This window comes from Homo sapiens, chromosome 8 (assembly GCF_000001405.40).
Source record: "Homo sapiens chromosome 8, GRCh38.p14 Primary Assembly".
NCBI lineage: Eukaryota > Metazoa > Chordata > Mammalia > Primates > Hominidae > Homo > Homo sapiens.
The window spans coordinates 15,753,478-15,769,748 of NC_000008.11; the positions used below are offsets into that span (position 1 = coordinate 15,753,478).

The following is a 16,271-nucleotide window of genomic DNA, read 5'->3' on the forward strand; positions in this document are numbered from 1 at the left end:
CTAAACCAACAAAATACAGTGGACATGGGAGCATTATGAACAAAAAACCAGTTTTCCATTTAAAAAGTTTTAATCCCTTTTGTTAGTCTAGCACATGTATATGTGCTAAAGTTAACTTAGTAATAATATATTTTACTTGGAGTCATCTTTTTATTCCATTGCATTAGTTTCCTTCTTAAATAAGCTTTCGTTTTCTTCTCAGTTATTTTATCAACTCTCTTGTGAATGATGATGATAACTGCCTGACAAACATCGAAAACAAATGTGACTAAAAGACTGCAGAGATATATAGCAGAGATTTGGACACACCCTGAGCCAAATTACAAAAACCTGACAGTACAGGGAAAGCAAATATATATCTATTCAATTAGTTAACTAAAGAAAGAGCAAATGTGATGGCAAAAGCAAGTGTCAAAGAGGGAACAAATAGAGGGAACAAATGAAGGAGAAGAAGAAATAATTCTGATAGTAGTTGAAAGGTGAGATACTGATAAAGAAGAGAAAGACCTTTTCCCATCGAATTATCCTGTGGTGAACATAGCACCACGTTGTTAAAGAATATTTTGGTATTCCTGGAAGCATTTACCTGTGGCACCAGCATTATATGACATGTTTTAAAAACTACTCACATCAGATAAAGGCAGTCTGTAGAAAACGAGAGAATGAAATGCAGGAAAGAATTATTCTAGAAAGAGGAAAACGCACAACACATACTCCCGAAGGTATTTCCTGGCCTTTAGTACTTCTGCAAAGACATTTGTAGATGTCCATTTTCTAAGAACATTAGGCTGTACAATAGTAAATCATAAACTCTAGGGACCAAGAGCTGAACCACTCCAACCATCCAAGACAGAAATAAATACATTGAAGTAGGCTGACAAGAGGAGAAAAATAGTTTCTCAACCAAGACTCTATCCTTGACTTCCCCAATTTTAACATGAATACATGTTGCAGAGATCAACTGCTAGTACAGACACACATTCTTCTTCACAGTAGCTCTTGGAAAGCTTCCTACTTCTACTTTGGATCATACCTGTACTTGGGATAAGACACTTAAGTTACCCTTTAGTGAAAATGCACATTTGAACATAACACCTTCTACTTTTTTTCCTTTTCTTAAGAAAAGCACCTTTAGTAATGGCCTTTAGGCTCCAATGCCAAAGTACTTGCTTGGGTGTTATGCCTCCGCCTTTTAGCCCTCAGTGTCTTCGTTTTGCATTTTTGTGAATTATAAACTGTTGTACCACTGATATACAGGACTGTATCCATAATTATCTTTATGTACAGAACCGTGATCATAATTGTCTTTAAACTAATTTTTTTTACATTTTTTCCTCACAATTTTGAATTTTATTTAAAATACAGTCCTTAAGTTCTTCTATCTGAAGTGATCCTGTTCGGCTTATTCATTTTTATTTTAATCTTAAGCCTTACAAAACCTTAAACATCTATGCCCTTCATCATATTTTTTCAGTACTTCATAGTACTTTCAAAATTGTTGTTTTCTTTGCTGACACAGGTACCTGCTAAAGGATAAAAATCTACTTTAAATATTTATCCTATAGTCTTAAATCTTCCCCTAAAGTTTACCCTTAACAGTTTACGTATGAATCTGTCTCATGCCATTACTAAATTCTCTCAGATTGTCTTTTAAATTTAATAGGCAAACTTCCCTGATTGGAATACCCAGCCTGCTCGTTACTAGCTGTGTGACCTTGGGCAAGTTACTTAACTTTTGTCAAGCTAAGTTCTCATTTATAAATGGAGATGATTTGTCATATGTCGTTCAACTATTAGAAAGATTACATGAGAGAATGCTTGGAAATCACTTAGCACATTGCCTGGTACATAGTACTGATTACTCAATAAATGTTTGATGCTAATTATCATTAATTCTGATATAAATATTTAAATTCATTTTTATTTAATCTTCTGCTAAAAAGTTTTTCTTTACGCTAAAGATTAAGTAGTTTTGTCTCATAGTTGCATGATTCAGTTGAATGAAGAAAAGATTTTCCCTGAACCTTTTGATGAGCTTAGTTGGGCTCCTGGGTCTCTTGAAATTGTCAGTGAAATAGTAGGGTTACTATGAATTTGATCTAATTACCATCTGAGCCAGCAATTATAAACAACAGTTTATAATTCACAAAAATGCAAAATGAAGACATTGAGGGCTAAAAGGCAGAGGCATAACACCCAAGCAACTACTTTGGCACTGGAGCCTAAAGGCCATTACTAAAGGTGATTTTCTTAAAAAAAGAAAAAAAAAAGTAGAAGGTGTTATGTTCAGAAAGGAAGAAATATGATTTCAGTAGTAGCAATGAATTCATTTTATATATTACATGAACTTTAGTGCTTGCCCCATTTTCTAAGAAGAGCAAAGTGCTAGCAAGGACATCATATTCTTCACATATGGGTAACTACCTTATCAATATTTTTCACTGGCACTCTGTGCTCACAAAAGTTTCCTTTAGAAGATGTCTGTAGTAACATCTAAGATACATCAAGTCTCTGCTTTTGAGACATGAGACATTTCTAGTAATTCTGTCACTTTGCTTCCTAACTGTTCATTAGACTCTGTCTTAGGGAGGTCGTATGATATAATGGAAAAATAACAGTAATTAGGAGAAGACCCGAGCTCAAGGTTGGGGTTTAATTCTGTGTATTAGCTAGAGCTCTAGCTCTGCATTTAGACAAATCCAGGTTTGAATTTTGGTTCCTCTTAACTAACTTTGGGGCTTAAAGTTAGTTACTTAACTTCCAAGTCTCATTTTTCTGCAGCTCTAGTTACCTCTCTCTCTATATTTAACTTGGTTAAGCCTGTTTCTTAATCTGTAAACTTGGTATGATAAAACCTACCTCAGAATTTTATGGGGATAAATTATATAATCAGTTCGTAGTCCCTGAAATGTAGTAGGTTCTCAATAAAAAGTACTCACTTTCACTTACCTCCTCTTCAGCTATACTAGCCATTTCAGCAACTGATTATTCAGTAGTACTTTGTCGCATTATGTTTTTCATTAAGTATTCATTTACAGTTGTTTCATGTGTTTGTCTTTTTTTTCTAGATTATAAGGTATTTGTGTCTTTGATAAAAACCTTTTATATATCTCCAAAGTGCTAAGCACATAGTAGGTGCTCATCATATACTTGTTAGTTGAATCTGTTTACTTGAAAATTTTATTCCTTGTCTACTTCCATTAAATGCAACTGGAACCATTAAAATACAAATACAGTGAGGCTTATTGGCTTGCCACAGCTCCAGAAGATGCAGTCCATACCAAATGACACCCCCTGGAGTTGTCAGGTTGTTCTTCATAGTTGAAGGTGTGTGGAAAAATAGTTAGTTATTCCCCAAACTCGAGCTCTAAAGCTAACTATCATGGCTGGGCGTGGTACCTCAGGCCTCACGCCTAGCACATTGGGAGGCTGAGGCAGGAGAATTTCCTGAGGCCAAGAATTTGAGACCAGTCTGAGCAAGATGGTGTCTCTACAAAAAATTTAAAAAATTAGCCTGGCATGGTGGCACACGCCTGTAGTCCCAGCTACTGGGGAAGCTGAGGTGGAAATATCACTCGAGCCCAGGAGTTTGAGGCTGCAAGTGAGCTATGATTGTGCCACTGCACTCCAGCCTGTGCCACAGACTGAGAATCTGTCTCTAAAAAAACTCGTTCTTAAAAAAGAGGTATCGCAGTTCCAATTCTAAGCTGGGTGATAACAAGTGAAAAACAGAATATATAAATTAAGCTTACAGTGGACACAGAAAGTGGCTTCCATTGTCTTAAAACGAAACTGATAGTTTCTAATGTCGTTGGTTACCTTGAGATGAAAATGGAATGATATTCAGTAAGGAAATGTACAGAATAACAGCTAAAAATGAAAGGCATTCATACCAATTTTGAAAAAAGTATGATAGTGAACAAGTACAGCAAGGCAAAAATTCCAGCATGTAGAGGGTATAGCAATTTTGCATTGATTTGTACATCTTAACAACCTTAAGCTGTACAAATAGAACAATAATATCTAAATGGTGTGATGATCAGCCCACAGTACACATCATTGATGAGAATTTCACTGGTCTCAACCTTTCTCATGCTGAGTCCTGGCTTTGTAAAATGACTTATAAAGGTCCAAGGATTTAGAGATGATTAAGAGATAAGCTGGCATTCTGTAAAGGCACCATCGTCTATCCCCTGTCTTATCTAGATAAAGAATGTAGTGCTAAATCTTGTAATAATATTGTACAAATGGAAATTCAATCTTAAGGATTATTTTTTCCATATTGTTGTATTTCATTGTGGTGTATTGGAAAGTGATCTGGACTTTGAGTGAGAAGATGTGATTTGGACCATGGCACTTAAAAACTCTATAACCTCAGGCAAGTCTTTTAATCTTCTCTGAGCCTCAGTTTTCCTCATTTTTCAAATATAGAGAGTATAACATTTATCTCATAAGACAAGTTGTAGTAAATTACTGTTTTACAAATGTAAGATAACTTTTAACTGTGAGATTCCATATTCCAGTCTTACATTATTATGTTTATCTGCCACAGGGAGAAGTCCTCAGATAAAAATGTCTACCAAAAGACTGACACGTGGAGTTAATCATTTGACAGATGCAATGCTTCCACCCCCAACAAATATACTTTCTTAACTTCTGTTTGTTATCACTTAGGGAAAAAAGGCAGTCAACAAATATATTTCATTCTATCTAGGAAAAATGTAGCCAAATCTTTTTTCCCATTAACAAATAATGTAAGCCTTAATATTCAAGGGTAATAAAAAATACAAGTCTTCCAAACAGTTAACTTACTGAAAACTTTTTTAAAATCAACATTTGCTAAATTCAGAAACAGATAGTAGGTACTTTATTTATATATATATAAAATTACTGTCAATTTTATATATATATAATTTTACATAAAAATATAATTTTATATGTATGTAAAATTGACAGTAATTTTTTGCAGAAAATTCACAATCCAGTTTTTTGATTCCACACTGCACATCCCACCCCCTCAAGACCAGAGAACACAGGGTCTAGGCTAACACATCAAAAGCAGCTCTGGAGACTTAATTCCATTGTGGTAATACAGCCTTCTTACTCTGGCAGAAGCTCCATACCGTTCAGCAACCCACTGAACGTAGGGAAGGAATGGGAAGCTCCTGTGTTCCAAAAGAGTTCTGAACTGGCTCTTCATCTGTCCCTTAGCCCCTGCATTCTAGTTTTATTGTTCTTCTCCCCCCAGATTGACTATCCATGTTCTGGTCATTCCTCATTGTTAAATGTGGTTAACACTTTACATAGGCCTCTCTGTGGAGGCTGTGTAGAAAATTGGCCTGAGCACTAGGAGACTGGACTGCTGTTGCCCCATGAAATGACAGATCTAAAAAGCTTCCATTCCCAGAGATGTTTTCCTACTCTCAATAAAGGCCTAGATTTCTTTAGGCCTTTTTAGAAGACCACTTGTTTTAGACTCAAAGACTTTTCTGGGTTTAGCAATCTTCTATTACAGAGAAGAGAGCCCCAGGACTTTTGGCTAAAGAATTCTAGCTAAGGGCCACAATGTACTTCTCGCTAGCATTCTCATAGAACACATGTGAATGTAGAGTAGAGATTAAAAAGAATGACTCAGTGAGTTACACTACCCACAAGGTCAATGGGCCGGAATGAAAATTCAACCACTGGCCTATCTGTGCTTAGTGAACAACCCAGACCTTTTTTCCCGTTTGCACCTTTTTTGGATACCAAATGAAATCTGAGCAGCTGCCCCTTACCCACCCACATAAGTGATGTGAGACAGGTGACATTATGTAACCACTGGGTCTTCCTGACTTCCTCTCCAGTTTAAGAACAGGAAGAGCAGTGCACAAATATGTTCTGTCGAGCTGAGGATATCGGAACTTAACCGGCTTCCACTTGGACAGAATACATTTGTTCCAGAACACTGTGTACATTCTGGGTTTTCCAAATATGAGAAACAGATGGAGTCATTAATTCAAGATAAATAAAAAAAACAAAACAAACAGCAAGCCATTATTTGCTACCTGTTCAGATATTTCACAGGAAGGGAAAAGGAACAAACAAGCTTTTGATATACCCTCGGTCTCCAGTAACCACCAGTGACCAAATCCAAAGTTCTCTTCATGTGACCTTTCTAGCATTTTAGTTGACAAGCCCCTCTTGGAAACTTCATACCCTGGATTTTGTAACATGGCATTCTTACACCTTCCTTTTTTCTCTTAGATTATTTCTCAGTCCTGAATATACATTATCAAGTCCTGACCTTTCTCATGACATCCAGAACCAGACCTGAATACCACATTAACAGTTCACCTCACTACGTTAAAAAATCATTATCATCTGCCTCCAAATCTCTTTCTCCACCCCTTTTCCCCGACACTGTCATTGTCACAGTCACACAAGATGGAAATCTTGAAGTCATTTTGTCCTCATCCTCATCCTTCTTTATGTTATTTGGCCTACATTACTTTTCTGTTCCCACAGTTGCTGTCTTGAGTACCTTGTGTCTTTTTCTGACTATAACCGAGCCTCTTAAATTGTCTCCCGGTATCTAGTCATTATCCCCCATAATACATCACTTATTGTAGGGTAGTGTCAGAATTATTTTAAGATATGCGCTGATCATGTTGCTTCTTCATTAAAATTCATTAATAGCTAATAACAAAGAGGAAGGCAAAGTTAATACATGTTCCTTCTAGAAGATACAGGTAAGCAAAATGAAGAAAATATATTCATAAATCCCAACACCCAGGTCATCAAATGTCATCAGTTTAGCCTGTACATATTTTGAACCTTGGGAATTATGTAATACATATTTTGTAAGCTGCTTATTTTTCTTTTATACATCATGAGCATATTCCTATGCAGTTAACTACATTCTACAATATATATGATTTTACACCTATGTAGTAATATCAATGTATGAATTGCCACAACTATTTTAAGTTTTATGCCATCCAGCTTTTTATGGTGTATCTTTCAGTACACCCTGTGGTTTAATACAAGACTAAGTAACTGCTGTCTGTGTTAGTTTATCCTACAAACTAAGAATGGCTTCTACAGTTCTAAATCATTGGGGGGTGGGACGTCAACAAAGAATATTTTGTGACATGAAAATTATGAAATTCAGATATCAGTGCCTATGAATAAAGTTTCATTGAAACGCAGCCAGGTTTGTTTTATGTGTTGGCTGCTTTTGCACTACGACAGTTCAGCTGAGTGGTTTCAGCAAAGACCCATGGCCCACAAAGTTTAAAATACTTAACCTTCTGGCTCTTTACAGAAAATGTGCTAACTCCCGGTTTAGCCATGCTGAACACAGCACTGAATATGTTCCCATACTTTCATACCTTTCCTCATCCAGTTTCTTCGGTCGAGGCTGCTGTCCCTGCATCTTACTTGTTCTCAGAGTTTTGCTTTTTCAGTTCTTGTAACACCGTCATCATCTCAAATATGTCACTGTATCATACTTAATCACACCCAGGTCTTTCCTTTAGCTAAAAGAAATGTAAGGGCCATGACTTTCAGTCATTTCATTTTCTGCAACATGCTTCTATGCACAGAATCTAGTACACAATGGTTGTTAAATGCTGATTGAAACAGACTTTTGGGGGCCCTGAGATTAAGAAAATAGCTAACACTTGCGTGTTTCTCTAGAAAAATCTTTTGAATTTCAAGTAATAAACTTGCTAATAAACCTATGGAATATTAATCCTTAGCAAATCAAAGACAGCATTTTCATCTAAATTGTGGTTTTCTACCATGAGGGAGTGCTGAGGAGAGAGCCAGCCTTAAGGAGAGAAACGGTTTGAAGTTTCTTCTTTGTGTAAACAGTCTCTCTGCATCCCTGATGGACTTTAAGCAAAAATAAAGTGACACAGACTAGAAAGGAATGGTTGCTTCTCTTAGGCTAGGGGAAGTGGGAGCTTCTGGGGGCACATTTGTGCTAGTCCTAGCCTTCTATCTATCTTATCCCTTGTGTGCGATTTGCTACTCTTGCCAATTAGCTTCCATTTTCTATTACTATCTCAGTTACAGTTGACCATGCATATATTCTCTTCAGAATACGCGAATAAGCCAGTCACAGCAATCAGTGCTATGCACATGCAGACTACTACTATGGATAACTACAGTGCGATTCGTTCATGACTGAGCGTGGAGCAGAGTCCACACAGAAGTTGATCGTGGTACCCAAGGCTGCTTCTCACTCATTCTGGAAGCAGACCGCAAAAGTGAAAAGCACACATCAGGGGAATACATTCAGTTTTCATTATTGACAGTTGTTTTTAAAAAAGTATGATACGAAGGCATTTATACATTTTTGTGATAGGCATTATTAGAAAAAACAATATCCAGGCACTCCTGAACCATAAGTTTGTGAGAACTATTATACTGTTAGATTAAGAAGCAAAAGTATTTATTAGACAGATAAATGTGAAAAGGGAAAAAAATACGTGTCAGATCTTGTTTAGAAATGAGAGACTAATTCCTTGAGTGATAATATCAATATAAAACATTCATACTGGAACATACTTTGGAAATTTAATATTTATAATTTAATATTTATATAATGAAAATAAAAGTGAAACCTGAAATACTGATTAGAGAACAGCAGTTCATACTTTTCTCAGAAACGTTTTAACCAGTCAAAACATTTTTGACATTTTTGTGCTTCAAGTGTTTCCAGTGTCTTGAACAAATAAAGAAATTTTTATAACTATTTAAAATGAAAATGATAGTTTTGAAAATGATAGAAGCATAGGAAGTACTCTAATTGTCCTACAATAAAGGATACATCTAACTAACAAGTAATCAGTTTCAGATTAAATATATATTTATCATTTCATAATGATATAAACAACTGATTGTTACACCAGGTTAAGAAAATTACTAAATGAAAAAAACAGTAGCATAACTAAAGATAACATTAATAAAGTACTCACAGAGATCCTTTTACTGTGAATATACCTAAGTATCATAAAACTGCTAAAAAGTTAGAAGGTATAAAATTACCAGTATGGATCAGATTAGTATTTTTGCTTTTACAGGGGTAATATCGTTAGCAGCAATAAAGATTACCTTTAGTGCTCCGTAACTTGAAATCTGCAGAGCCTTTAAACACTAAACAACAAAAAGCTACAAATCCCTAGTTTTAAGTATCAGTTCATTTTATGATTAAGGTTTCTTTTTTCATTAACCCTCATTCTTCAGTTAGCTTCATCTTCAGAGCAAGCTGATGATGGCTTGTGTGTGCTAGCAGGATGAACGCTATCTTTTCAAAACATAATGCCACAGTTCATGTACAGCTGGCACATCTATCTGCTTTACCAGCAGTGTTTTTAAGGATCATGCGGATTGAACAGCAACTACAGCTTAAGGCCCTGACAAGGTTTACTGCTGACATTCTTCATGGAGATGGTCACCCTTATCGTACGCTTTATTCGTTACTTATTATCTTGAAAGTAGAGGCGACGTCTCATTGCATCCTGATATCACCACATCATTTTTATCTTCTAATTTAACAATTTCTCAGAAACAGCTAACAAGAGTAATTTTTCTAGTTTGTATTGTACTGTGACTTTATTTACATTTTAATTGATGTTATATAATATACACTGTATATTATATAATTTAAATATATATTTCATGTTTTATACTAAAATGTTACATTTTAAAATACATATTTATTCTTGCACATAGTATCACCAGAATCCTAAAATATTAGCACGAAAAGAACTTCGGGAATCATCCAAAACAAACGTTCTTTTCACTAATGAGGAAACCGAGGTTCAGAAAGACGAAACAATTTATGCCTAGGATGATATGATTTAAACATCCAAATATAAAACTTACCTACTTTGGACATTTTTCCAGCTACATGTTTTTTTTTTGATGTTGTTGTTTTTTGTTTTCTTTTTTTAAGTACAAGAACTATTAATTTCATTTTTGCTTTTATATTTAATTAAAAATTGGTTTGTCTCTGGTTGCCTTGCAAAGTTGTCTTGTGTTGTCAAGACTCAAAAAGAACATGCCACGTGTTAGCAGAAAGGTACAGATGTAAACAAAAGCTTCATAAATGTTATTTAAATTGATTTACCATCTTACAAAATTAAATTTTGTTTCATAAATTAAAGCTTTGCTTAGGGAAGTTTAAAAAAATAACATAGTTATCTTTTACTTTTATATGTACAAGTATCTCTGCTGATGTTTCATCAGAAATTTTATGATTCATGATTTGTGTATACTCTTTTTGGTTGTTCAATATGATGAAATTGTAAATTAACAAAAGACCAAGTGATTAAATTATACGGTTAGAGAAAAAATATTTTTAGGACATTCAAATGACCCACTTCACGCATTTGTTTCAGTCCATTCCCTTGTATTTCCCCTACATTACCATTTTAAATGCTGATTTAACTGCTGTTCTAGCCAGCAATGAAAGGAATGTCTATGTAAATTTAAACCACAAATTAAAGCTTTCAGCATCTTCTCTCACCCTGACCCTGTTCCCAACCTAAGCCTCATCTGGTTAAAGGCACTAGTTTAGAAAAATTGCCCTGATGTAAAAATTACAATTAGTTGAATACAATTATGACATTTTAATGTTATATTTACATGTGCTAATTTAGAATGGAATAACAAACATATTGTATTTTCCTTATGTTCTATGTTCAGCACATAATAATTTTCTTTCTTTTTCAGCTTTTTAATTAAATGAAGCCAAGTGGGATTTGCATAAAGTGAATGTTTACCATGAAGATAAACTGTTCCTGACTTTATACTATTTTGAATTCATTCATTTCATTGTGATCAGCTAGCTTATTCTTGTGTACTTTTTTTAAACTGTGGGTTTTCCTAGTAAATTTAATTTACAGAAATCAATGGTAGCATTTAGTAATCTACAAAGGAAATATCAAAGTGTTTTTCAAGCCTGTTATATTCAGTGTGTGCCACAGGATTGAAATAAATGACAATGTAATTATGAATTCATGTTTTAGAGCTGTTTACTCATTAGTAAAGGACCGCAATGTTAGTAAAGAAAACCTATGAAATGTATGTTAAAGATTCTTAGTATTGTACAGGGATAAAGCAAATGCATGAAAATATGTCATGTACTGAAAATTAAACTTACTTCAGTTTCAGTTATAAAGGACGTGCACTGTTACGAATAGTGTTTTGTTATTAATTATAACTAGATAAAGGTATATAGGACAGGGAACTGGATGAATGGTACCTACAATTTGGATGCCTAACCAAGGACTAGAGCTCCTTCTTGAGATCTAAATCTAAAGTAAATGTGCATTAAAGCAGTGTGCTTCAAAGGCATCAGACGATGAAAGCAACATACCACAACTAGGAGTTATTTCTCAAACTTAAATGTCCTCTGGGAATCCAGACTTAAAAATAAGAGCAAACTTAACACACTATCCATTTTCGAGCAAACCTAACCCACTATATCCATTTTGCTCATGTGTTTTATGCAACCAGCTTTCCATCAAATCCTCAATCTTTGAATCCAGGTAAAAGGTTAATTATCCTAGGATTAGTGAATGATTCAATGAAGCTTTCTTGAAAACAAACATAGGAGTGTAATGTACTATTATGTTTGTATCCTGTTTTAGTTTATAAAGCACTTTCACATACATTATGGTATTTCTTCCTCACAATAACCTTGTAAATTAGTCAGGAAATGTAAATTTTATCTGACTCATAGAACTAATGGAAGCTGAAAGCCAAAAATAAAGTTTATAACCAGGCCTTCAAACTCTCAAACATGGATTTTTATATTCTGTGGAGTTATCCAAATTAATTAGGGTTTAGGAAAGCAGTTCTTCTTGAGTCAGTTCAATAAGTGTTTGCTTTTTGTTTTTAAGGTTTGTTATCTAATTTTCATTAAGATTTGAGTAACAGACCATGGAGAATTGTTTTCATTGGGAGTTCCAGCTATATAGCCTCAAACAAGAAACGGGTGTACAACCATTGAGTTTACTTACTTAAATCTGTGAATTTCAATGAAGAATGGGAATATAAAGGCCTACTGGGGCATGTTTATCAAGTTATATCCCAGGGCAATGTGTATGCTAGCAGGATGAATGCTATCTTTTCAAAACATAATATTCAGTGAAAATTACGTAATAATTGTAAGTTTATAATCATACTCCCAAATCTGTTACTAAAAATAACATAAATTCTCCTAGTTCATGTACTTAGATGAATAAATTTAGTTTTGGAATGACGTTTATGGAAAAGCAATAGATGAACTTAATCATTTGATCACTGCCTATCACTAGGCAGAACTTGACCTGTAATTCTTAATCCATTGTAGATTTTTTACATTTTACTCAAAACTTCATACATAGAGACTCTCAGGTCAAATTTTACAAGTATTAAACATTTGTTAATTATAATCACTTTTGTTTGTATCCTTAAATCTCAGAATTATCTTGCAGTTAATATGCAGCTGATTAAATGATATTACAAATTATCTCTAATCTCACTGTAAATCTTTTAATCATATCAAAGTCAGGTCATCCTCAGACACTATAACTAAGATAGATAAGGAGTACTTTACTATACCATATTAGTAAAGGTTTTCTAGCTCTTATTTTCTAATTTCCTCTGAGCATTTAAAATTACATCCAGTGATAAAAACAATATTTTTTTTTCAGAATTTCATGCTTTAAAAAGCTGTGGCTTCTCTATAGACAACTGTTACATTAGGGAAGTGATTCTAGAGCAAAATATACTGCCTCAACATAAGTCGTTACTGACTGGAAAATGCTATAGGCAGAATTGCAAAGAGTGGCTCAAACATATAGTTTGCTTGCAGAATGTAACGTGCAAAATCACATACATGCGATGTATTTACCTTTGCTAGACAATGAGAATTGAATAATTGATTTGTACCTGGTATGTTATATCCTCCAGTGTCACTTTTTAACCAGATTCACTGTGCGTTCCAAACTGTCATAAAAATTGATTATATGTTTAACAATTGTTTTTCTACTACAGTGGAGAGAAAAATCCCAATTATAAAATTCCACCTAAAGGAGTTTCATTTTGTAATAACATCTGATTAATAACTTGTTGCATTTTGCTTAACATACTGTTCCTGGCATTAGATATTCACATGAGTAAGCCCAGTAGCATTTTGTGCTTACTGCAGTTTTCTTTTACACACGAAGTAACATCCCTTGTCAATTACAATTCAGCAGGCATGGTGATTTGGGGAGACGACTAGATGTTGCTGTAACCGTAGAGCGTGGCAAGTATTCCCTTTCTTGCTATCACCTAAGCAAACCTCCCTAAGGGTACGTGAAGGGAGTGGTTATTCTAAATAAGGCATGACAAATTACTTTTCAACCAGTGACATTAAACATTGTGTTTTAAAAAGGACTGGTCACTGGGGCGAACACATTAGCTGGAGCATGTAGGGACAAAATACTTGAATTGACGCTTGAAGACTCAATGTTCTCAAAGTCCACAGAGCTCATTAAGTTTAAAATAGTAAAACAAGGTCTTCTTCATACTCCAGCAATATGCTATATTGGATCAGACCAATATATGTAATAATGTTTTCTCTAATAGTAGGAAAAGGATGAGCATTGTAGCTAGTCACACTCAAAGGGTACAAGTATGCATTCATTAGCTCCTAAATTCCCTGATGATATAATTCACGAGCATCTGCCATTTATGAATTTTCGATATTCCTCTATGTCTGAAATACATGCATATATTTATATCATATACCAAGGGTCCAACTACTATACAAAGATTTAACAAAGCATCTCACCTTCCGGCCATAATAGGAAAATCATGTCACATTTACCCAAATGTGGATACATCTATCTATTTCCATTAAAAATTATGCATAGATGTCAGGAAAAATGACAGCAAGGAATTCCAGGGACATACCTGTCCTTAGAAAAACAGGAAAAAAAAAAAACACTGTCACATTCCATTTTATTGGAAATTTGTTTTAAAAAAAAAAGTTTACCAAACCACTGTTTAAAACAAGAAAATGCTTAAATTAAAAAAGCAACTGAAACTCAGCTGGATAGCTTAATGGTATTTTATCTTAATTCACCCTCTTTCCTCCCCAGTCAGGAATGGTCTTGAAGACTGCAGCCTGCATTCCTTATGTGGGTTCCTGGCTTTGGAGGGAGCAGAATAGACCTCATTCTTAAGAAATGGTGTTTGCTTTGACCTATCTAGGGTCTTGCCTTCGGTTGACGTAACTCAGAAGTCTCTCAGGTGAAAAAGTAGCTGTGCTGAGAATGGTTTCTTGAAAGCATTGAAAGTAAATGAAGAAGCCACTGCTGCCTGGAGAAAAGATTGAAGTTGGGACAAATAGACATACACTGAAAGCCTGGAAGGAAAAGCTGGATAGTGAAATACTTTGGAGAATAAGGAATTGGAAACAATGCTACATGTAACAGGGACTCTAGAAGGACATACACATACCCAGGGCAGGATCCATGTTCAGAAAAGTCCTGAGAAGATTCTAAGCTTTCACATCTTGCTGATATTAATATTTACACCCAGACCAAACAGGAAGTGAAGACTAAAACAGTGGTAAACAGCCCAGATAAGTGTTGAAAGAGTTCCCCAATAGAGAACCTGTCTGTAAAGTGGGGAGAGTATTTTTCTTTTTATCTTTTTTTTTTCTTTTGTCTCCAGGCATTTAAGGAAAGTTCTGTCAAACTACTGACTGACCACTAGGCTAATGGAATAAATACACAGACAACATGTGACAGTTTAGAAAAGTCACTAAACAAATCACTGCTACATAAACTGCAATTCACAACAAGCCGTGATAACAAAACTTGGGGAGAGGGCAGAATCTAGTTTCCAGAGTTGCCACATTATAATGTTCAGGCTATCCACTTTATAAAAATTTAAAACATGAGGCATATGAAGAGACAAGAAAGTCATCTTATTCACAAGAAAGAAATTAACAGAAACTGACCCTGAGGCAGCACAGGCATTGGACTTGCTAGACGAGGACATTAATGTCTTCAACCTACTCAAAGAGCTAACAGAAACCATGGACAAACAACTAAAGGAAACAGAGAATGATTTATCATTAAATAAAGAATATCAGTAAAGAGATAAAAATTATAAAAAGGATAGGAACAGAGGAAATCAAATTGTCTGTTTGTAGATGACATGGTTGTACATTTAGAATACCCCATCATCTCAGCCCCAAATCCCCTTAAGCTGATAAGCAACTTCAGAAAAGTCTCAGGATACAAAATCAATGTGCGAAAACCACAAGAATTTCTATATCCCAATAACAGCCAAATCATGAGTGAACTCCCATTCACAATTGCTACAAAAAGAATAAAATACCTAGGAGTACAAGTTACAAGGGATGCGAAGGACCTCTTCAAGGAGAACTACAAACCACTGCACAAGGAAATAAGAGAGGACACAAATGGAAACACATTCCATGCTCATGGATAGGACAGATGAATATCGTGAAAATGGCCGTACCGCCAAAAGTAACTTATAGATTAAATGCTATCCATCAACCTGCCATTGACTTTCTTTATAGAATTAGAAAGAAACTACTTTAAATTTCATGTGGAACCAAAAAAAAGCCTGCATAACCAAGACAATCTTAAGCAAAAAAAGAACAAAGCTGAAGGCATCACTCTACCTGACTTCAAACTATACTACAAAGCTACAGTAACCAAAACAGCATGGTACTGGTATGAAAACAGATATATAGACCAATGGAACGGAACAGAACAGAGGCCTCAGAAATAATACCACACGTCTACAACCATCTGATCTTTCACAAACTTGACAAAAACAATGGGGAAAGGATTCCCTATTTAATAAATGGTGATGGGAAAACTGGCTAGCTATATGCAGAAAACTGAAACTGGACCCCTCCCTTACACCGTACACAAAAATTAACTCAAGATGGATTAAAGACTTAAATGTTAAGACCTAAAACCTTAAAAACCCTAGAAGAAAACCTAGGCAATACCATTCAGGACACAGGCATGGACAAAGACTTCATGACTAAAACACCAAAATCAATGGCAACAAATGCCAAAATTGATACATGGGATCTAATTAAACTAAAGAGCTTCTGCACGGCAAAAGAAACTATGATTAGAGCAAACAGACAACCTACAGAATGGGAAAAAATTTGTGCAATCTATCCATCTGACAAAGGGCTAATAATCCAGAATCTACAAAGAACTGAAATTTATAAGAGAAAACCCCATCAAAAA

At 34.9% G+C, this 16,271-nt stretch overlaps 1 protein-coding gene across 27 annotated transcripts in view; it reads left to right on the forward strand.

Annotated features, from left to right (window-relative positions):
• TUSC3 (tumor suppressor candidate 3) overlaps positions 1-16,271 on the forward strand; it is a 434,904-nt gene that overhangs the window by 336,290 nt on the left and 82,343 nt on the right. For 11 of the 27 annotated variants that reach the window (NR_182195.1, NR_182198.1, NR_182197.1 and 8 more), the window contains one exon: positions 10,726-14,075. The exons of 3 other annotated variants lie outside the window; for them this stretch is intronic. Coding sequence is in view for 19 of the 24 variants with exons in the window: in NM_001413670.1 (NP_001400599.1) it covers positions 10,726-10,741 (16 nt within the window). In the remaining 5 variants the exon portion in view is untranslated. Of the gene's footprint in view, positions 1-4,313; positions 4,383-4,552; positions 14,076-16,271 lie in introns of those variants that run through there. 13 more of the 27 variants (NR_182196.1, NM_001413671.1, XM_047422264.1 and 10 more) reach the window with 11 other exon arrangements.